Here is a 22,824-nt window from a genome sequence, read left to right as displayed (position 1 = left end):
TGGCCTGCTTTTGTGGGCCGTGATTCTGATGACAATTTAGTTTTCAAAATCCTTACAGTGCTGCTATTCTGGTTTGTTTTGTTCACCTGAACCCCTGGCCCCCACTGCTGGGCCAAGAGGTGGAGAGTGCTTCCCTAGGCCTGCTCCCCCAGGTGTGCTCTACAGGCTATACTCTACTTACTGGTGGGGCTCCTACCAGCGGCACTGGGGAAGGACAGGGCCTACTTAAGTCCTCTTCTGTTGCTGGGTTGGGGATCAGGAGATACTGTGCTTGGGCTGCCTTTGCCTCTGGACTGGGAATTGGGAGACACTGCCTGTACTGCCTTTATTCACTGGGTGGATAATTGGAAGATACCAAGCTGCTATGATGTTACTCAAGTCCTAGGGGTCCCCAGCCAGTCCGCTTTCATCTTTTCACTCTTCTGTGCCCTCCTGTCATTGTCTACTACATTATTTCTAGAACTTTTAGCTGTACTTAGAGGGGAGGAGCAGGGAGAGTTGAGTTTCTGCCATCTTGTCCCAAACCCTAAACTGATGTGTTAAGTAACTTTGGAATGTGAATGATATAGCCCATTGGCTAAAATTATATTCCTTTTATCCTCTGATTACTTGTTACTGCCATTTCTCTGTGTATTTAAAAAACTCTTAAGGGCAGTATTAATGTATCTTCTTCCACTACTTATATTTATGTCATACGTCATATGGACATAAAAAATTTAGGAGTTATTTTTATCTCTTGTACATCTATATATAGATGCTTCATGAGTAGTTTTTAGGAGAAATAACTTGCTTAAATTAACTTGAAAGATATCTATTTCAAAAAGATGTCTGAGACTTAGAGCTTGTCATTTAAATTCCAAACGTGTTTATTGAAATTTTTGTATTTGTTGAAATATGTTTGAGTTTAAAGAAAAACCTGAAAAATGCCTTTGACGCAGATAAACTAAAAGGTAGCCTCCCCTTTCATAATAATATTGATGTAGACCTGTAAAATGTAACTAATTAGAATTAATAATGTTGAGCTATTTTTACATCATTCATTTTCATATCTTGTTCTGCCTCCTGCAGAACACTATTCTTGTCTCCCATACCTGGTCTACCCTGTTGAGTTCATTACATAAACAAGTATATTTTGAGTGATAATTTGTTTTGGTTTTAGAAGTTTTGTTTGAAGATATTAATAAAGTAACCAAACAAACAAGATAAAACTGATCAAGAGCACCCTATAATAAAAGGCTCCACAGAGGTCTATCACTGGCAATATTTTTCTTTCATTCTCATCACTGTGAGATGGTTTGCTAAATGCTAAATAAATACAGTGTGACCTTGATTTTTCAGCTTTTTAAGAAAGCTTTATTGAAATATAATTCACATACCATATAATTCACTCATTTAAAGTGTGTAATTTAATGGCTTTTAGTATATTCACAGAGTTGTGCAGTCATAACTTTTAAAAAGATTGTAGTATTAATTTTTCTTAAATTCATTATTTATAGTTTTATAATTGGGAGTTTTTCTTAGAATTTTACTGTCAAGACTGGAATGAGTTACTTTTTTAAAAATATTACTAGCTTGAATCAAGATGTGGCAACTACGAAGGAAAACGTCAGTAGCCCTGATAACCCAAGTGGAAATGGCAAACAGGATCGGATCAAACAGAGAAGAGCTTCCTGTCCCCGACCAGAGAAGGGGACTAAATTTCAGCTTACCGTCCTTCAGGTCAGTTTGTAAATATGGTTTGGTTAAGAGTACATATAGAGGTCTGGAGGGTCAGAGAGGGGCAGTGCTGCAGAAGTGAGTTGTAGAATATTGCGAGACCCTCTCTAAACTAACCTTTTCTCCGTTACAGACTTTCCAATGTGAGTATTATGTGTTCGTTGTTAAACTTAGGAAATATAAGAAAGAAAATAAAATCTACTTTTAACCACCATTCAGAGATAGCTCCTATTAATGTTTTAGTTTGTTTTTCTCTCCTTTTCCTGTATGTACATGTAGTGTTTTACATTATTGAGGTTGTAATAGTACTAGTAATCGCAGCAAAAATCTATTGAGTTCTTTTGTGGTAGGCACCCTAAATGTTATCCATGCATTTTACCATTTAATCCTTCAATAACCCTGTATGATAGGTCATAGTATATACTCATCTTTACAAATGAAGATACTAAAGATCAGAGGAGTGAGCCGGGCGCAGTGGCTCACGCCTGTAATCCCAACACTTTGGAAGGCCGAGGCAGGTGGATCATCTGAGGTCAGGAGTTCGAGACCAGCCTGACCAATATGATAAAACCCCGTCTCTATTAAAAATACAAAAATTAGCCAGGCATGGTGGTGCATGCCTGTAATCCCAACTACTCGGGAGGCTGAGACAGGAGAATCGCTTGAACCCAGGAGGCGGAGGTTGCGGTGAACTGAGATCACACCATTGCACTCCAACCTGGGCAACAAGAACAAAACTCCATCTGAAAAAAAAATGAAATCAGAGGAGCGAAGTAAGTTGCCTAAGATCACTCAACTAGCAAGTGATAATGTCAGATCTGAACCTAGATCGGACTTTAAAGCCCGTATCTCTAACCAATATAATGTATGTTTTAGTTGGCTGCTTAAACCTATATATAATTTTATATCCTGCATTTTTAAAAACCTAATATATCATGTATGCCTTCCTGTATCATTAATTTTTCAATAACATGACATTTTAAATGGCTACATTAGATAGCTGCTTATACAGAGAAATAACTTACATTCCCTATGTTCTTGGTTTATGTTCTTTCTTTCCATCTTTTTCCCAGTCTGTCTTTTTTCTAACTTGCTGTCTTTTACTCTTTTTGTCTGTCTGTATATCTTTGCAGCAAAATCCTTGAACATAAATCTTTGTATCTATCCCTGATTATTTCCTTATTAGATCCATAGGAGACGGATTCATGGATCAGAATATGAAGATTTTTAAAGTTTCTAGATACATGTTGCTAGATTGCTGTCCATAAAGATTGGTCCAGGTTACATTTCCATTTGCAGTGCCTCTTCTTTTGCTTAGAGTCAATTTATAGATTAAGATAATTTTGGAAATGAATTATTAAATTTAAATCTTTGCATTGCAGATAGCTCTAGTGACTATTATAACTTTTTTTGCTTTCTTATAAAAGTTGTATTGTTTTCTTTACCACAGGATCACATTTATAACTTATTTTTTACTGAGTAACTTGAACCTGTTAGTTTAGTCATAGAATGGCTGTTTAGATGGTATTCCACCAAGGGAAAACATTCTGAACTATTTAAGCCATTTTCCACATATATTGTACGTGAACTAGTGTAGATGTTCCTTGCACAATTTGCAAAAAGAAGACAGTGATTGACTCTTAAACCGGTAAAATGTTTGTACTCAGGTATCAACCTCTGGAGATAACATGGTAGAGTGTCAGCTGGAGACACACAACAACAAGATGGTCACCTTCAAGTTTGATGTTGATGGTGATGCGCCAGAGGATATTGCAGACTATATGGTAAGTGCAGTAAGACCAAATTATCTTCCCTTCAGCATTCTGTCTTTTTTCCCCTATAATTCTGTCTCCATTTATTTTGAGCCATTGTTTTTTAGAGTACGATTAGTTTTAAAATTTTGTACAGAGGTAAATTGGGTTATCATCAAGTGTAAGTCACTGCATCTCCTCCGGTTTCAGTATATTTAACTGGAAAATATGCAGAGGTTTCATTTAGAGATAATATAGCTAAATGGCTCTTATCTCTGATTGCATGTGAAAATCACCTGACAAGCTTTTTAAAAACAATTGTATTGCCTGGTCCCTTGATTAAATCAGAATATTTGGAGGTGAGGCCCAAGCATCAATAGTTTGTAAAGCTCCCCAGGTAATTCTTTTTTTTTTAGTTTATTTTTTGCTGGGCACAGTGGCTCATGCCTGTAATCCCCGCACTTTGGGAGGCCTAGGCAGGAGGATCACTTGAGCCCAGGAGTTCAAGACCAGCCTAGGCAATGTAGTGAGTGAGACCTTGTCTTCACAAAAAATTAAAAAATGCCAGATGTGGTGGCCACACTTGTAATCCCAGCACTTTGGGAGGCTGAGGGAGGAGGATTGCTTGAGCCCAGGAGATTGAGGCTGTAGTGAGCTATGATCATGCCACTGCATTCCAGCCTGGGCAGCAGAGCAAGACCCTGTCTCAAAAAAAAGTTACCTTTTATTATTTTTATTTTTTATAACAGGCTTTGAAAAAGCTAAAGCCCCAGGTAATTCTTTTTCTTTCTGTTTTTTTTTTTTTAATTTTTGTGGCTACATAGAAAGTTTATATATTTATGAGGTACATGAGATATTTCGATGTAGGTATACAATGTGTAAGAATGATGTAAAGGTAAATGGGGTATCCCTCCCCTTGTAATTCTAATGTGTTAGTCACTGATCTAACATCTTGCATGTTATTGTTTCATTTAGTTTTTAATATTTTCTTTGAATTGTTAGGTTTAAGTTAGTATTTCTTCCCCCCTTATTTTATTATTTTTTTTTATTATTTTCTAGGTTACTTTTCCATCTTCCCCTTTTTTGATGGGGATGGGACTAGGATGGCAGGAAGAGTGCATATAATGCTTTTTGTTTCTGCCAGCTTTCTTTGTGTATGCATTTCTAGCCAAGCAGAATTAAACATTTTAAAAGTTAATTATTTCATCATCAGTTCTGTTCTTGTTTAACGTAATATTTTCTGAACTGTCTCTTCTTTCATTCTTTTCAGGAATGTTTAACCTAATTAGTGGTCTTCCGAGCTATTTTTTTTTTTTTTTTTTGAGACAGAGTCTCGCTCTATTGCCCAGGCTGGAGGGCAGTGGTGTGATCTTGGCTCACTGCAACCTCCGCCTCCTGGGATCAAGTGATTATCCTGTCTCAGCCTCCCAAGTAGCTGGGATTACAGGCGCACGCCACCACACCCAGCTAATTTTTGTATTTTTAACAGAGATGGCATTTCGCCATGTTGACCAGGCTGGTCTCGAACTCCTGACCTCAGGTGATTCACCCACTTCAGCCTCCCAAAGTGCTGGGCTACCGTGCCCAGCCTTCCGAGCTATTCTTTATTTTCTTTGGAGATGTTTCATTTTGTGGTTTGTGATTTAAAAGCTTTTGGGTTTGGACATCTTAGTTTTAAACATTGCCTCAGTTATGTTCTTCAAATAACCAATTTATAGAATGACATATTTTTTAAAATGCTGGTTCCTTCTCTGGTAGGTAGTGCCAATCTGAGAAATGTCAGTAGTCTCAGAATAATTTAATGTATTTTTTGGCATTTTATTGCTGGTCTTTGTGAATTCTATTGTGACACTTGGATTTAGATACTTAATTTTAATTTTATTCTTCTTTTTCTTTTTCTTTTCTTTTCTTTTTTTTTTTTTTTTTGAGACAGAGTTTTGCTCTTGTTGCCCAGGCTGTAGTGCAATGGTGCAATCTCAGCTCACCATAACCTCCGCCTCCTGGGCTCAAGCAATTCTCCTGCCTCAGCCTCCCAAGTAGCTGGGATTACAGGCACCCGCCATCATACCCAGTTAATTTTGTATTTTTAGTAGAGACAGGGTTTCACCATGTTGGTCAGGCTGGTCTCAAATTCCTGACCTCAGGTGATCCACCCACCTCAGCCTCCCAAAGTGCTGGGATTACAGGCATGAGCCACTGTGCCTGGCCCAATTTTCTTTCTTTATGTGATAGTCACTATTTATATAATATTATAACTTTGAAGAAACTGAATTCATTCTCATGAATAGACTTACTTTTGGGCAGGTTGAAGATAACTTTGTGCTGGAAAGTGAGAAAGAAAAATTTGTAGAAGAATTGAGAGCTATTGTAGGTCAAGCCCAGGAGATCCTTCATGTCCACTTTGCCACAGAAAGAGCCACTGGAGTTGATTCTATTACTGTGGACTCCAACAGTAGCCAGGTGAGAACAATTGTTTAGCAAACAGATCTTCTCAGATATGAATCAGGAACTTTTTAATTTATCTATTCATTTTTAATTCAGACAGGGTCATCTGAACAAGTACAGATAAATTCTACATCTACTCAAACCAGCAGTAAGTATATTTAGTAAAATTTATCATTTGGTTTTTGAAGCAAGACATTTGAAAACTTTTAACACACCTTCATTGGGAAAGATGTTAGCCAATAAATTAATTTGGTAACTTATTAGTGTAGGTTTTCTCACACTTTGAAAGGCCCAAAGGTAATAATCCATCCCCTGACTTTTCCCCAAGTGTTGGTTCTTTATCTGATTGATTTATTTTTGAGTTATTGGGTGGTCATGTTACCAGAAAAGCAGTCACAGTACTGATGACCTTAAATGGCATAACTGTTTGAAACTTAACTGGTAAGTTATTTTTTTCTGATTTGAGATGGATAGAAACTTTTTAACAAAAGTCATCATTTTCTAAGTTTGCCTCATATTTCAATAGTCATTCGTATCTTGATTTTATTCTACTAACGATGAATGATATGCTTCTACTTGCGCTGGTCACTGATAACTTTTAGTAAATCAGATACCAGATAAACTTCCAGAAGCGAAAACTAGGGTCTCCTGTTTTCTTTTCTGATGACTTTATCTTTCCATTCTTCTCAGTTCTGGTCATGGGTATATTAAAGAGTGTCTGGGAGGGGGATAAGAGCCATAGACAAATGAGCACCCCTGAAGAAATTACAGGAACGTAAAGAAGCAAAAGGTGGTGTGGGAGTAATAGAACCAGATACCATTATCCTGAAATTTAGTTTGACTGTGTTAGGATGCAGTCCTTCCTATATCTTATTTTTCTGGTTAGCCAAGATATGAGTAGGTTTCTGACTAACAAAGTTGGGTAGAGTTTAAAAGAGAATTACTTATTTGAGTACATTTACAAAGTAGCAGTTAAGATGTAGGGGTTTATTTTACTTTATTTTAAAAAATGTCATACAGTAAAACTGATTTTCTTTTGGTGTACACTTCTGTAAATTTTAATACATGTATAGATTTATATAAGCACTATCATAATCAGGATACAGAATAAGAGATATAGGTTTTAATGAGAAAAGTGCTGTCAGTTTTTTCAAAGAGTACCCTGTTTCTAATTGCTATTCAAGCAATATTTGTTTCAGTAGAATCTAAAATCCTTCTCTAAAGATATTGTGTGCTTAGTACTTTAGACTTTTTGTCAGTATTAAAAGGGCTGGTCTTATCAATTACATATATTCTAGTACTATTAGAAATGGAGATATAAGACAAATTGTTTATTTAACCTGGCTTCTTCAGTCAATAAGGTAAATAAATTGAAAATAGCTTAGCATATTATTTTTTGCTAATTATTTCTGCAGATGAATCTGCTCCTCAGTCATCCCCAGTTGGTCGGTGGCGATTCTGTATCAATCAGACGATAAGAAACCGTGAGACTCAGTCTCCTCCTTCTCTTCAGCATTCCATGTCTGCGGTTCCTGGCCGACATCCACTTCCTAGTAAGCTTTTCTTCTCTGCCAGCTTTGTCCAGACTCAAAGGATGGGATGCAAAATACATATGATATCTTTAACTGGTTTCCATGGGAATTTTATGCTTATGAGAATTTTCATAAGCTTTTTTGAAGACATTAATATTAGGATACAACTTAAGCCATTTCCTATTTAATATTTATGAGAAAAAAGGAAAACATTATTTCCCTTGACAGGTTGAATTCTGTGTTTTGAGTCTTATTTACGAGAGTACTTTCACACAGGTTCTCATTTGCCCCTTTGTCCTCCTGTTCCTTTTGACTTAGGGTACTAGTCTGTGCTTTGTACTCGTCAGTACGTGCTTAGCCATTCTTTATTATTGTTCCAGGTCCAAAAAACACAAGTAATAAGGAAATATCACGGGACACATTGCTCACTATAGAAAATAATCCATGCCACCGTGCACTTTTCACCTCCAAATCAGAACACAAGGATGTGGTTGATGGTAAGATTTCTGAATGTGCTAGTGTAGAAACCAAGCAGCCAGCTATACTTTATCAAGTGGAAGATAACAGGCAGATAATGGCACCAGTTACTAATAGTTCCAGTTACTCTACTACTTCAGTTCGTGCAGTTCCAGCTGAATGTGAGGGACTCACCAAACAAGCAAGCATATTCATACCTGTGTATCCATGTCACCAAACTGCCAGTCAGGCTGATGCACTTATGTCCCATCCTGGCGAATCAACTCAGACTTCTGGTAACTCTCTTACAACTCTGGCATTTGATCAAAAGCCTCAAACCTTATCAGTACAGCAGCCAGCTATGGATGCAGAGTTTATTTCTCAAGAAGGAGAAACTACAGTGAACACTGAAGCAAGTTCTCCTAAGACAGTCATTCCCACTCAGACCCCTGGCCTTGAACCAACTACCCTTCAACCCACTACTGTCCTGGAATCAGATGGAGAAAGACCTCCAAAACTGGAGTTTGCAGACAACCGAATTAAAACTCTGGATGAAAAATTAAGAAACTTGCTCTATCAGGAGCACAGCATCTCTAGCATCTATCCCGAGAGTCAGAAGGATACCCAAAGCATAGACTCTCCATTTTCTTCCTCTGCTGAAGATACCCTCTCCTGTCCAGTGACAGAAGTCATAGCCATCAGTCACTGTGGAATTAAAGATAGCCCTGTACAATCCCCTAATTTCCAACAGACAGGCTCTAAGCTTCTGTCCAATGTGGCTGCAAGTCAGCCTGCTAATATATCAGTGTTCAAAAGGGACCTGAATGTGATAACTTCTGTACCCAGCGAATTGTGTTTACATGTAAGTATCATTCTTTCTAACCAATTCCTTACTCTTTGCTTATTGTTTTAAAGAAATGCCTTCTCTTCTAAAATTCTGTCCTTTGAGATGAAATGGTCTATGTCACAAGATGCTGAGGTCACAGGTATTTAAGAAGGCTATGACTTAGGCTGCAGGTGTTCAGAACCTCTCAGTAGAGATGACAAACTATCTTTGGTAAGAGAGCCCTCTGGTGAATTAGCTAAGAACTTGCAAGCAGTGTCTATATTTGTATTAATGACAGAATGAAAACTGACTCATGGATTGTTTTAGTGGGTAGGAAGAACTTTTAGATTTTCACTTAAAATGCCAGTTATCCGTTTCCTTCTTTAAAAAAAAAAGTTATGGTTTTTAATTTAATCATGTTTGGGGGGATTTAATTTGACAAAAAAAGAGAAGAAAAGAAAGTAAAAATCATCATTAATACCATGACTTTTTTTTTTTTTTAAACCCTAGACGGAGTCTTGCTCTGTCGCCCAGGCTGGAGTGCAGTGGCATGATCTCGGTCTGCCTCCCGGGTTCAAGTAATTCTCCTGCCTCAGCCTCCTGAGTAGCTGGGATTACAGGCACGTGCCACCACGCCCGGCTAATTGTTGTATTAGTAGAGACGGGGTTTTACCATGTTGGCCAGGCTGGTCTCGAACTCTTGACCTCGTGATCCACCTGCCTTGGCCTCCAAAGTGCTGGGATTACAGGCATGAGCCACTGTGCCTGGCCTGACTTATTTTATGAGTTATATAATGTAGGAACTTTAATTTTCCTTTTCTGCCCCTTCAAATCACAAAAGTAACCACTAATAATTTGATGCTTATTCTTCTTGACTTTTCTTAAGCTTATACAGATCTATTTACATACATATAACATTATATTCATAAAAATACTGTGCTGTATACATACTGTTCTGCAACTTAATTTTTTCATTTTACAGTAGATCATGGACATCTTTCTAAATCTTTATTGCTGTATCTTTTTGTCATTTTTGTTATTATATAAGTAATAATATATACTTGTACATAGTATATATGTACTACGTACAAGTAAAATCCACCCCATCCCCAAACCTGTAGACACAGCTGTTAACAAATCTTTCCAGACATGATTTTAATTAATATACAAATATTTATAAAGACATACTTTTTATATATGATATATTGTATCTTTATATAGATATAGATACATGTTAATATTTATATACATATACTTATTTACATATATGCTATTCTGCATTTTTTTCATTTATGGGTATCTATCCATGTCAGTACACATAGTTCCATCTTACTCAACTTTTTGAAACAACTGCATAATATTCCACTGATACATATAATTTAAAGATTTAAAAATTTTTTAAATTATTTTAAATAATAAATATCACATAATGTGATTCGAATCTTAAGAAATGAACTGTTATTTCTGTCATTTAAACTTTGTTGCTTGAAGGAGACTCTCCCAAGTGTCAAGGTCAAATGAATTCATTTATTTGTTTCAAGTGTCTGTTGCTATATCTGGATCATACTTAGCTGCCACTGTTTCTGGTGTCATGGAATTCTTCTTTTTTCCCCTAAAATACTTCTATGAGTAATATTTTCAAATATATTGCATGAGTATCCTATTTGGTATTCTTTTGCATGTCCAAAAATGTCTTTATATTGCTTCACACTTGATTGACTAAGTACAGATGGTAGGATCAGAATTTTTTCTTCTCAATTTAGAAGACAGTGTTTTATTGTCTTTTATTAGCCTTCCTGATGAGAGTGATGTCAGTTGTTTATCATTCATTTGTAGGTAACCTGTTTTTACTCTAGACCACTGCAATGCTCTTGTACTTTTTACAACGTGGAAATGTTCTGTATCTGCACTATCCAATACAGTAACCACTAACCAGATATGACTATTGAGCACTTGAAATGTGACTAGTGCAACTGAGGGCCTGAATTTTTAATTTAATTTAATTAATTTAAATTTAGACAGCCACATGTGATTAGTGGCTACTGTATTCAGTTAGCACAGGTCTAGTTGCTCTTAGGGAACTATCTTAGAGCTCTGATTATCAGACTGTATCTTGGTATATCACTTTCCCATTCATTTTGTATATCACTTTTGTGGATGTTTCGAATTTGAAGATTTGTGTCTTTTTTCAGCTCCGGTAACTATTTTCATTTCTTTTTTTTCTTCCCCTTCATTGTCTTGCTTATTTCCATTTAGAAATTGTAGGAGATATATGGCCTCTTGGATTATTCCCCATGTTTCTTAACAGCTTGCTCTCACTTTTAATTTCATTTTTTAAAACCTTATGTTCTCAGATATGTCTTCAGTTTTTTTTTTCTTTTTAAATTTCAGATCACTCTCTTGGTATTCAGCTGTATCCAGTTAATTTTTCATTTGGCAGTCATGAATTTGATTTTTTAAATCTTTCTTATTCTTGGCTCCATTTTCATAGCAACCTATTTTTGCATATATTTTTGTTCCAAGCTTTTTTCTCAGAAAACTGACAAAATATTAACTCTAAAATATATAAAGAATGCTTACAAATCATTGAGAAAAGATCAGACAACTCAGTGGAAGAATATCCAAAGCATCTGAACGTGCATTTCACAGAAGTGGAAATATAAATGCCTGCTAAACATGTGAAAAGATTTTCAACTTTCTTAGTAATGAGAGAAAGGCAAAATTTTATGGAAAAATAGTTTTTTGCTAATCAGACTAGCAAATATTAAAGAAATTGATGGCTGGGCGCAGTAATTTTCATTTTATGTTGGTAGGAATAAAATCAGTACAGCCTACTTGGAGGGCAATTTAACACTATGAAAGTTAGAAATGTGTACATTCCTGTGACTGAGCTATGTCACTGTCAAATTCTACCTGAGAGAAGTATTTGCACATATGAACAAAGGAACATGTATAAGAATGTTCAGTGTAACATTGTTTGATTATTGGTAACAGGAAAGGATTCACAAACAAGTTTAAATATTTGTAAATAGAAATTGAGGGACACTGATACTATGAAGCAATTTAAAAGCATGAAGTAGACCTATAAATATATGTTAGCTATTATCATCTTTATTTTAGCATGGACATATCTCCAGGAAAAATCATCAGGAAAAATATATGCAGAATAATTCAGACAGTATGATGAGGTGTGTGTATGTGTGTGTGTGTGTATATGTATGTATGTGTATGTGTGTGTGTGTTTTTGAGACAGGGTCTCACTCCATTACCCAGGCTGGAGTGCAGTGGCATGATCGTGGCTCACTGTAACCTCAACCTCCTGAGTTTAGGTGATCCCCTTGCCTCAGCCTCCCAAGTAGCTGGGACTACAAGTGCGTGCTACCATGCTTGGCTGATTTTTAAACTTTTTGTAGAGACATGGGCTTGCAGTGTTGCCCAGGCTGGTTTTGAACTCCTGGCCTCAAGCAATGCTCCTGCCTTGGTCTCCCAAAGCAGTGGGATTACAGGCATGAGCCACCACACCTGGCCTGTATTTTTAAAAAGGAACACACACACACACACACACACACACACACACACACACACACGCATATATATGTACATAAATGCACAAAAAAGTTCTGAAAAGATAAATTGATATTAGTGGATATCTTCCAGGGGAGACTGGGAAGGAGGGTTGTTACAGGGATTTTTGTTTTATCTAATGGTTTAGATCTTTTACAGAAAACAGTTATTCATGTTATAAGCCAAAAAATATCTAAGGCAGATCTCAATCAATTTAGAATTTTATTTTGCCAAGGTTAGGGACATGCCTAGAAGAAAGGAAACATGGAATCACAGATACAGTCTGTGGTCTGTGCCTTTCTCCAAAGATGATTTTGAGGGCTTCAGTATTTAAAGGAGAAAAGCAAGCTGGAGGGGAAAGAGGGAGGTTATGGTAATCCACATGTTGCAAGAGAAAAGGAGCAGGTAGGAGAATAATCAATTATGTATTCATCTCCCAATTTTGCTCAGTAAATCAGCACTTTACATAAGATAAGGTGAACATAGGGTAGCTACCTCTGGAGATATTTAACCTTTTATTTGTAGCTGTTTGCTTAGGAACAAAATGAAATGCAGTTTCTTGCATGACTCAGCTTTCAGCTTAATTTTTTTCTTTTTGGCATAGTGAATTAGGGTCCTGAGTTTTTGTTTTCCTTTCACAATGTAATACTTGTAATATTTTTTAAATGAAAACATTCTTATTGAAACAGTGTTAGAAAGAAAACAGCTTTTGAACCCCACAAACCAGTTTCAAAATCTTGCTTTGCCATTTACTATGTAATACTAGGCAAATTATCTACACCCTTTACCCAGCCTTAATTTCCTCATCTGTAAAATCGAGATAATAGTACCTACTTAAAGGGCTACTGGATGCCTTTGGTATATTCTCTTTATTGTTTATTCATCTTATTTCATATTCTTTGTGCTCTATAAATATGGAAACTTGTCTTGTGATTTCTTAGAATTTTAACTCTTTTACAGTGTTCGATCCAGTGACATTAAATTTGTTCACAAGGTTGTGTATCCATCACCATTATCTAGTTCCAGAACTTTTTCATCACCCCAAAAAAAGAAACTTCATACCCATTAAGCAGTCATTATTCATTCTCCCTTCCCCCTTGCCCCTTGCAACCACAAATCTGCTTTCTGTCAGTATAGATTTGCTTATGCTAGATATTTCATATAAATGGAACCATACAGTTTATGGCCTTTGTGTCTGGTTTCTTTCACTTAGCATAATGTTTCAAGGTTCATATTCCATTTTATGGCTATACTGCATTTTGTTTATCCATTCATTGGTTTGTGGACATTTAGGTTGTTTCTACCTTTTGGCTGTTGTGAATAGTGCTGCTACGAACATTCATATAAAGTATTCATATGAGTTCCTGTTTTCAATTATCTGGGGCATATGGTAATTCTACGTTTAACTTTTTGAAGAACCACCAAACTCTTTTCTAAAGCAGCCACACCATTTTACATTCCCACCAGCACAATGTGAGGGTTCCGATTTGTCCACATACTTACCAACACTTGTTTTCCAATTTTTTGATCATAGCCATCCTGGTAAGTATAAAGTGGTATCTTATTGTGGTCTTGATTTGCATTTGCTTAATGGCTAGTGGTGTTGAGAATCTTTTCGTGTGCTTGTTGGCCATCTGTATATCTTCTTTGAAGAAATGTCTGTTCGAGTCCTTTGCCTATTTTTTAATTGGGTTGTTGTTTGTGTTGTTGAGTTGTAAGAATTCTTTTTTTTTTTTTTTTTTTTTTTTGAGACGGAGTCTCGCACTTTCGCCCAGGCCGGACTGTAGTGGCGCTATCTTGGCTCACTGCAAGCTCCGCCTCCCGGGTTCACGCCATTCTCCTGCCTCAGCCTCCCGAGTAGCTAGGACTACAGGTGCCCACCACTGCGCCCGGCTAATTTTTTTTTTTGTATTTTTAGTAGAGACAGGGGTTTCAACGTGTTAGCCAGGATGGTCTCGATCTCCTGACCTCGTGATCCGCCCGCCTCGGCCTCCCAGAGTGCTGGAATTACAGGCGTGAGCCACCGTGCCCGGCCGTAAGAATTCTTTATATGTGTGGCTGGGCATGGTGGCTCAAGCCTGTAATCCCAGGATTTAGGGAAGCCAAGGCAGTAAGATCGCTTGAGGCCAGGAGTTCAAGACCAGCCTGGTCAACATAGTGAGACCCCCCATCTCTATAAAATAAAATAAAAAAAATCTTTGTATATTCTGGATGCTAAGTCTTTATTAGATATTTTATTTGTGAATATTTTCTCCCATTCTGTAGGTTTGTCTTTTCACTGTCTTGATGGTATCCTTTAACGCACAAAAGTTCTTAATTTTGTTGAAGTCTGATTATCCACTTTTCCTTGTATTGCTTTGTTAGCTCTTATAATTACGTCTTTGATATATGTTGAGTTAATTTTTGTATATGTATGAGACAAGGGTCCAGCTTCGTTCTTTTGCATTTGGATATCCAGTTGTTCAGCACCATTTGGTGAAGAAACTATTCTTTCCCCCATTTAATGGTCTTGGCATTCTTGTAAAAAATCAGCTGACTATATAGATGTATGGATTTATTTCTGGACTAATTCAATTCATCACTCCCAATATCTATCCTTATGCCAGTAGCAAAATGACAGTGTTTTGATTACTGTAGTTTTATAGTACATTTGGAAATCAGGAAATGTGAGTCCTCCAACTTTGTTCTTTTTAAATATTTTTTGGCTATTCAGAGTCCCCTGTGATTCCATATGAATTTTAGTATAAGCTTTTCTATTCCTGTGAAAAAGGCCATTGGGGTTTTGATAGGGATTGCATTGAATCTGTAGGTCACTCTGTGGACTGTTGACAGATTAAGTCTTCCTGTCCATGAACTTTCTATTTATTTCAGTATCCTTGAATTTCTTTCATTGATGTTTTGTAGTTTTCAGTGTATAAGACTTTCACTCCTTGGTTAAATGTATTCCTAAGTATTTTCTTATTGTTATTAGAAATGGAATTGTTTTCTTAATTTCTGTTTTGGATTCTTCATTGCTAGTATATAAAAATACAACTGATTTTTATGTGTTGATGTATCCTCCAACTTTACTGAGTTTGTTTATTAGCTCCAATAACTTTTGGTGGATTATTTTGGATTTTCTATATATAAGAGCATGTCAACTGTGAATAGAGATAGTTTTATTTCTTCATTTCCCATTTTTATTTTTCTTATATACAAACTTTTTTTTTTTTTTTGAGATGGAGTCTTACTCTGTCGCCCAGGTTGGAGTGCAATGGGATGATTTCAGCTCACTGCAACCTCCACTTCCCAGGTCCAAGCAATTCTCCTGCCTCAGCCTCCCAAGTAGCTGGGATTACAGGCGCTCACCACTACGCCTAGCTAATTTTTATATTTTTGGTAGAGATGAGGTTTCACCATGTTGACCAGGCTGGTCTGGAACTCCTGACCTCAGATGATCCACCCGCCTTAGCCTCCCAAAGTGCTGGGATTACAGGTGTGAGCCACTGCGCGCAGCTCTTATCTATAAACTTATGCTTTTCATTTGTTTGTCCTTTTGCTTTTTGTACTGGGATAATTTCTCAATTTTTAAGCGGTTGCATCTCCTATTCAGCTATTTTTTGTATCAAGTATTACATTGTTTTAATTTCTAGTAACTGTAGTTCATTCCTTTCTTTATCAATGTAGTATATTCACACATCTCTCTGAATATATTGAAGTCTTATTCTGTGTTATTAATGCTATTTCCTTGGCTATTCTGTTTGCCGAGTTTAGTATTTTCTTATAATGTTAGTTTTCCCTTGGTGTTTAGTGATTCTTAGTTGTGTTCTCTTCTTTTTCACTCATGAGATTCCTTGTTCATCTGTCTGTAAGTGTTTTATGTAATTACCGTAACTTTCCTTCAGTAATTGTGGGAAAGGTATGGGACATGCTCCCTGGCACTGTATTTTGTAACTTATCTCTAATGCTGCCTGGAGGGTGGCCCAGTAGCTAGTCTCCAAATGTAGGAGGGCTTACCTTTCTTCCTGGATGTCGTCTCCTTCCTACATCGTTGACCTCTTTCTTGGCCACAAAACCTTTTCCTCTTACTGCTCTTATTTGGGGGCGCATGCCTCTGCTGCCCTTTGCTTGGTCTGGAGGTGGGGAGAGAAGGGACAGAACTGCCTGCCTGTTCCTTCTTTGTTATCCCAACCAGTTCATTCTTCCATTCAGTAAATATCTCTTTAGCAGTGAATAAGTCAAAACCTCTGTTTTTGTGGAGTTTACATCTAGTAGAAGAAAATGGATACTAAACCTATATATGGTAGTCAGGGAAAGACTTGTATGTGATGGTGACAGTCATAGGCAGAGATCTGTTCAAGGAACCAAAAGGCGGCCAGTAAACAGGAGAGCATTAAGAGATAACATTGAAAGAGACAGAAGATAGATCTGATAGAGTTTTGTAAGCATTCTAGCCTACCACTCATCTTTTTAGTTGGCCAGGGTTCTCTCCTGCTGCCCGTATCAGCCACTCAGGTTTGCAGCATTTTGAAACAATTCCTACATATGTCATGGTCTACTTTTTCCTCTGTCAGTCATATATGCATGTGTCTATGTATATTTTCCTGTTGTGTCTGTAAATTTGGATTGATAAGGAAGGCTAGAACAAATATTTAATTTGCCATCTTGATCCAGTTACTACATATTAAAATTCTTTTCTGTAATTTCAGTGGGACCAATGTAACATTTTCTAAATTGTAATACTGATTTTTTTCTTCTCATGAAACTAATTATTACTAGTTTAAAATGAGACTTCAGAAAGTAAAAACTGATTGCTTACAATTTTATTTTTAATATGTCCTGACCTGCCATAAGTTTGTGTTTGTTTTTTTGTTTTTTTTTTTTTGAAACAAGAGTTTCGTTCTTGTTGCCCAGGCTGGAGTGCAATGGTGCGATCTCGGCTCATTGCAACCTCCGCCTCCGGGTTCTAGCTATTCTCCTGCCTCAGCCTCCCAAGTAGCTGGGATTACAGGCAGGCACCACCACGACAGGCTGATTTTGTATTTTTAGTAGAGACGGGGTTTCACCATGTTGGCCAGTCTGGTCTCAAACTCCTGACCTCAGGTTATCTGCCCACCTCAGCCTCCCAAAATGCTGGCATTACAGGCGTGAGCCACTGCGCCCAGCCCTGCCCTAAGTAGTAATAATGCTTACCCAAGACATCATACTTACTGCCATGTAGGCTATCTTCTTTCAGGCAAATGCTAAATCCCATTCTTTGTGCTTTTATATATTTTTTTAATCTTCTAGATTAGTAGTGACCCTTCTCATGTTTCCCAAAATATTTGTGGTTGTCTGTGCTAACTTTTCATATTAATTATTATAGGGGATTTATCTTTAAAGCACTCATTTAGATACAACAGTTATATCTGGGGCCCTTTTGCGGGGAGTAGAAGGACAAGAAGAGGGGATTGATTTTATAGCCAGCATAGCCTGACGTTAACAAGAATTTTTAGAGCATGATTTTGAAGTAATTTTGATGTCCTTTATAAATTTCCCTATGCTTTCATAAAGTAAGAAACTTGATTTCCTGATACTTCTCTGTAAATCTAAGTGCCTAGATATCTTGTTTTTTTCTGTTTTTATGTGTTTCAAGCATCTTTAACTGAGTCTCTTAAATAATATAGGCATAAATGAAAATTTCCATGATAATAGCATGGAGTTTTAGTAACCTTTTTAGTAAACTGGCACATATGAAGGAAATTTTAATTTGATTTTCAGTTTTCAAAGTTTGTATAATGATGAAAAATATTCTGGGGTAGAAGATTAATAATCTTCTCTTTTATTTACTAAAGTCTAAATAATATTTTTAAAGAAACAAGGCTTTTTATAAATTGAGTACTTTGGGTTCAGTCTGATATGCTACTATTAATGCAACTATATACGTAATACTCTATTTTGGGTTAAAGATTAGTCTATACAAGAAATTCCGTTTTTTTTTTTTTTTAAAAGCTTCACCTTACCTAAATTATTACCACTTTGGTTTTTCTCGGTTGTTTTGTTTTGTTTTGTTTTGTTTTGTTTTGTTTTGTTTTGTTTTGTCTCCATTAGGAGATGTCCTCAGATGCTTCACTTCCAGGGGATCCAGAGGCCTATCCTGCTGCTGTGTCAAGCGGTGGAGCCATTCATCTGCAGACAGGAGGTGGATATTTTGGCCTAAGCTTTACTTGTCCTAGTCTCAAAAATCCTATTAGCAAGAAATCCTGGACTCGCAAATTAAAAAGCTGGGCATACAGGCTACGGCAGTCAACCAGCTTTTTCAAGAGATCAAAAGTCCGTCAAGGTAGTGTGCTTACAGTCAGGGACATAGACTAGGTAACATCACTTTTCATTTACTTATTTTTTTTGTTGTTCATATACAAATCTTGCCACTTTTTCCACATAGCCCATGTATGTGACATGTCCCATTAATGTCATTGCCATTTTATTTTTTCCTTTTGTAACTAATTTGGTTTTCCGGTTATTCATTTCATATAGATACTAAGTCTTGGGATAAATCTTGCAATGTCTGATTTAGACTTAGGGACTTAATACAATGTTGCTTATTACATTAACACCTTTTAATTGTCTAGCAGGAGTTAAGCTTTTTCTACTTTTCTTCATTTTTGGTAATGTAAACAAATTTAGTCTTAACAAACAATTTTCTCTTTTTTACTTACAATTTGGCAAAACTTGCAGTGGAAACAGAAGAGATGAGATCAGCAATTGCTCCTGATCCCATTCCTCTGACACGGGAGTCCACAGCTGATACTAGGGCTTTGAATAGATGTAAAGCGATGAGTGGATCATTTCAGCGGGGTCGGTTCCAGGTTTGTGTCTTTGATTGAATCCTTATCTACAAGGGCATTATAAAATATAACAGCCAGTGGAGATCTTGGTCTGTAGATGATACTTCCATTTTTGTTTTTATTTTTTTTTGAGATGGAGTTTCACTCTTGTTGCCCAGTTGGAGTGCAATGGTGTGATCTTAGCTCACTGCAACCTCCGTCTCCTTGGTTCAAGCGATTTTACTGCCTCAGCCTCCCGAGTAGCTGGGATTACAAGTGCGCGCCACCACACCCGGCTAATTTTTTGTATTTTTAGTAGAAACGGGGTTTCACCATGTTAGCCAGGCTGGTCTTGAACTCCTGACCTCAGGTGATCCGCCTGCCTCGGCCTCCCAAAGTGCTGGGATTACAAGCATGAGCCACCATGCCTGGCCGATGATACTTACTTTAAATGTAGATCATTGTCATATTTAATTTGTTCATCTTGCATGCATCCCCTCACCTTTTGAAGCCATCAGTAAAGATGAATCTAAAGAAATGGAGATTTTCATAGCTGGTAGAGAGCACAGAAATAGGTTTTCTTTTGGCGGGTGGGTGGGTCCTCTTTTATAAATGTAATTTCACGTCCTTTAGAATCTCAGCAACTCTAATTGTGGAATTTTATTTGAGCAATATGATGCCCACTCTCTTTACCCAAGGGGCCTGATTGAAAGAGTGAATTTGGGGGTATAGATTAAATTTTTAAGTTTTGCTAGTATCAATACATATACATCACAGCAGAGCATCTACTTGTCTGTGCTATGCTAACCACTTTTACGTTTTTATATCTCAGGTGATTACAATTCCTCAGCAGCAGTCAGCAAAAATGACATCTTTTGGAATAGAACACATATCAGTGTTCAGTGAGACAAACCATTCTAGTGAAGAAGCCTTTATTAAAACAGCAAAGTCTCAGTTGGTAGAAATAGAACCTGCCACACAAAATCCAAAAACTTCGTTTTCTTATGAGAAGTTACAAGCTCTTCAGGAAACCTGTAAAGAAAATAAAGGAGTTCCCAAACAAGGTGACAACTTCTTATCTTTCAGCGCAGCTTGTGAGACTGATGTATCTTCAGTGACCCCAGAAAAGGAATTTGAAGAAACTTCAGCCACAGGAAGTAGCATGCAGTCTGGATCTGAACTGTTGCTTAAAGAGAGAGAGATATTGACTGCTGGGAAACAGCCTAGCTCTGATAGTGAATTTTCAGCCAGTCTTGCTGGCAGTGGAAAGTCAGTGGCAAAGACTGGTCCAGAGAGTAATCAGTGCTTACCACACCACGAAGAACAAGCTTATGCTCAAACACAGAGTTCACTCTTCTATTCGCCATCTTCCCCAATGAGCAGTGATGATGAATCAGAAATAGAGGATGAGGACTTGAAGGTGGAGCTTCAAAGATTACGAGAAAAGTAAGGACTGTTTCTCTTTTGTCACAAATCTGGTTGCCCTAGGTTTTATAGAACTTAGTATTGGATTGGTAACTAATTTAGGATTGGTGACATTTTAATGATTGAAAACTACAAAGAATGCTAATGCTAAACATTTATGAATGAGAAAAAGTTCTTATATATAAAATGTTTTCATAGTCTCAAGACTATTACAGTTGCTTATTTACCAATATGATTTAACTACTCTTTTTGCTAACCTTTACAATCCTTATTCTTCAGGACTTTTGGTTTTAGATTTTACAACTATTCTTATATAATTTCACATTTGATAAGTAAACAGCTGATTTATTATAATCAGAGATAGTGGTTCATCTTCTTTAGGAAAAGGTAAGATACTTTCAAGATCAAGCTTATTATTTGGTGACTGAGGTAATCAACCTTCACTAGTGATATTATGATAATATATTTTGTCAATAGAATGCTGTTTTGTATTTAGTTTTATAAAATAGGTCATTTAAAAAAAAGAAATTCAGGCCAGCTGGGCATGGTGGCGCATGCCTGTAATCTCAGCACTGTGGGAGGCAGAGGCAGGTGTATCACTTGAGGTCAGGAGTTCAAGACCGGCCTGGCCAACATGGTGAAACTTTGTCTGTATTTAAAAAAAAAAAAAAAAATACAAAACTTAGCCAGGTGTGGTGGCAGACGCCTGTACTCCCAGCTACTTGGGAGGCCGAGGCAGGAGAATCGCTTAAGCCCAGGAGGTGGAGGTTGCAGTGAGCCCAGATCGTGCGCCACTGCACTCCAGCCTGGGTAACAGAGCAAGACTCCGTCTAAAAAAAAAGAAAAGAAATTCATATTTAAGTTGCTGAATTCTAATTCTATCCACATGGTTCAAAATTCAAAAGGTACAAAAGGGTAACCAGTAGTCTCCCTCCTAGCACTGCAGCTGAACTATCCAGGTTCTCTCCTTAGACACAATAAATATTACCTGTTTCTTGTATATCCAGTTAGTCTATAACTGTACAAACAAATATGCATATTTCATTCTTTGTTCCCCAAATAGTAACTTACACTGCAAGACTGTTCTTATATCTTGGTTTTCTTTACCATTTCATAGTATCTTGGATATATATCTGTATCATTATATTTTTGACTGTTTCAAAGTATTCCATTATATGTATATACTCATAAGTTAATTACTAGCCTCCTATTGACGACCCCATGCCCTTACTTTGAAAAGTTGAAACCAACTCTAGCAATTTTTGAATATATCTTATGCTTTAGAGAATTTCCACACTGTTCTGGGACTTGAACAATTTGTAAAGCAGGGAGAACCAGGGAGGACTAAATAGGCACGCAAAAAGCTGGATTTGGCCAGACACAGTGGCTCATGCCTGTAATCCCAGCACTTTAGGAGGCCGAGGCGGGTGGATCACCTGAGGTCAGGAGTTTGAGACCACCCTGGCCAACATGGCAAAACCCCGTCTCTACTAAAAATACAAAAATTAGCCAGACGTGGTGGCGCGCACCTGTAATCCCAGCTACTCAGGAGGCTGAGGCAGGGAGAATTGCTTGAACCTTGGAGGCAGAGGTTGCAGTGAGTCGAGATCGCACCACTGCACTCCAGCCTGGGTGACAGAGCGAGACTCCATCTCAAAAAATAAAATAAAAAGCTGGATTTTAGTCAAGTTCTTACAAGCTTGAATAATGCTCCACTTGGATGCTACGTTCAAGTGCTTCAAGAATTAAAGCAGGTTAAAATCCTTGGAAATTTCTTAGTTTCTAGGGCCTTGCCCAGAGAAGAAAAAAACCCAAAACTGTCATTCCAATGATAGATAATTATAATATTTTCTCTCTAACTTGTTTCAGTGTTTTTAACTTGAGCTTGCAAGAAAATTGTGAATATATACTTTAAATATTCATCACCAGAAGGCTGATATTCCACTTTAAAATATATATACAGGCTTGACATTACATTATGTATACGTCAACTTATATATTAAGTACTATACAGTATATGTACACTGATACTTTTTATAATAAAAGTTATTAAAGCAGTTTCATATTTGTGATATAAGTATTCTATTGCTTTTGTTTTGTTTTGGTTTGGTTTTTTTGGTTTTTTTTTTTTTTGAGACGGAGTCTGGCTCTGTTGCCTCAGCTGGAGTGCAGTGGCGTGATCTCGGCTCACTGCAAGCTCTGCCTCCTGGGTTCACGCCATTCTCCTGCCTCAGCCTCCCAAGTAGCTGGGACTATAGGCACCCGCCACCACGCCTGGCTAATTTTTTGTATTTTTAGTAGAGACGGGGTTTCACTGTGTTAGC

General features: G+C 37.2%; 1 protein-coding gene across 22 annotated transcripts in view; it reads left to right on the top strand.

The window, feature by feature from the left end:
- The window catches only part of WNK3 (WNK lysine deficient protein kinase 3), a 166,078-nt gene that overhangs the window by 101,442 nt on the left and 41,812 nt on the right, over positions 1-22,824 (top strand). For 16 of the 22 annotated variants that reach the window (XM_047442382.1, XM_047442379.1, XM_047442383.1 and 13 more), the window contains exons 12-20: positions 1,572-1,719; positions 3,384-3,500; positions 5,772-5,927; positions 6,009-6,060; positions 7,328-7,465; positions 7,825-8,762; positions 18,360-18,450; positions 18,987-19,117; positions 19,908-20,521. In XM_047442382.1, coding sequence (XP_047298338.1) covers positions 1,572-1,719; positions 3,384-3,500; positions 5,772-5,927; positions 6,009-6,060; positions 7,328-7,465; positions 7,825-8,762; positions 18,360-18,450; positions 18,987-19,117; positions 19,908-20,521 — 2,385 coding nt within the window. Of the gene's footprint in view, positions 1-1,571; positions 1,720-3,383; positions 3,501-5,771; positions 5,928-6,008; positions 6,061-7,327; positions 7,466-7,824; positions 8,763-18,359; positions 18,592-18,986; positions 19,118-19,907; positions 20,522-22,824 lie in introns of all 22 variants that reach the window. The other 6 variants (XM_017029744.2, XM_017029743.2, XM_017029745.2 and 3 more) reach the window with 1 other exon arrangement.

Source organism: Homo sapiens, chromosome X (assembly GCF_000001405.40).
Source record: "Homo sapiens chromosome X, GRCh38.p14 Primary Assembly".
Lineage (NCBI taxonomy): Eukaryota > Metazoa > Chordata > Mammalia > Primates > Hominidae > Homo > Homo sapiens.
This window is presented reverse-complemented; position numbering and strand designations above follow the sequence as displayed.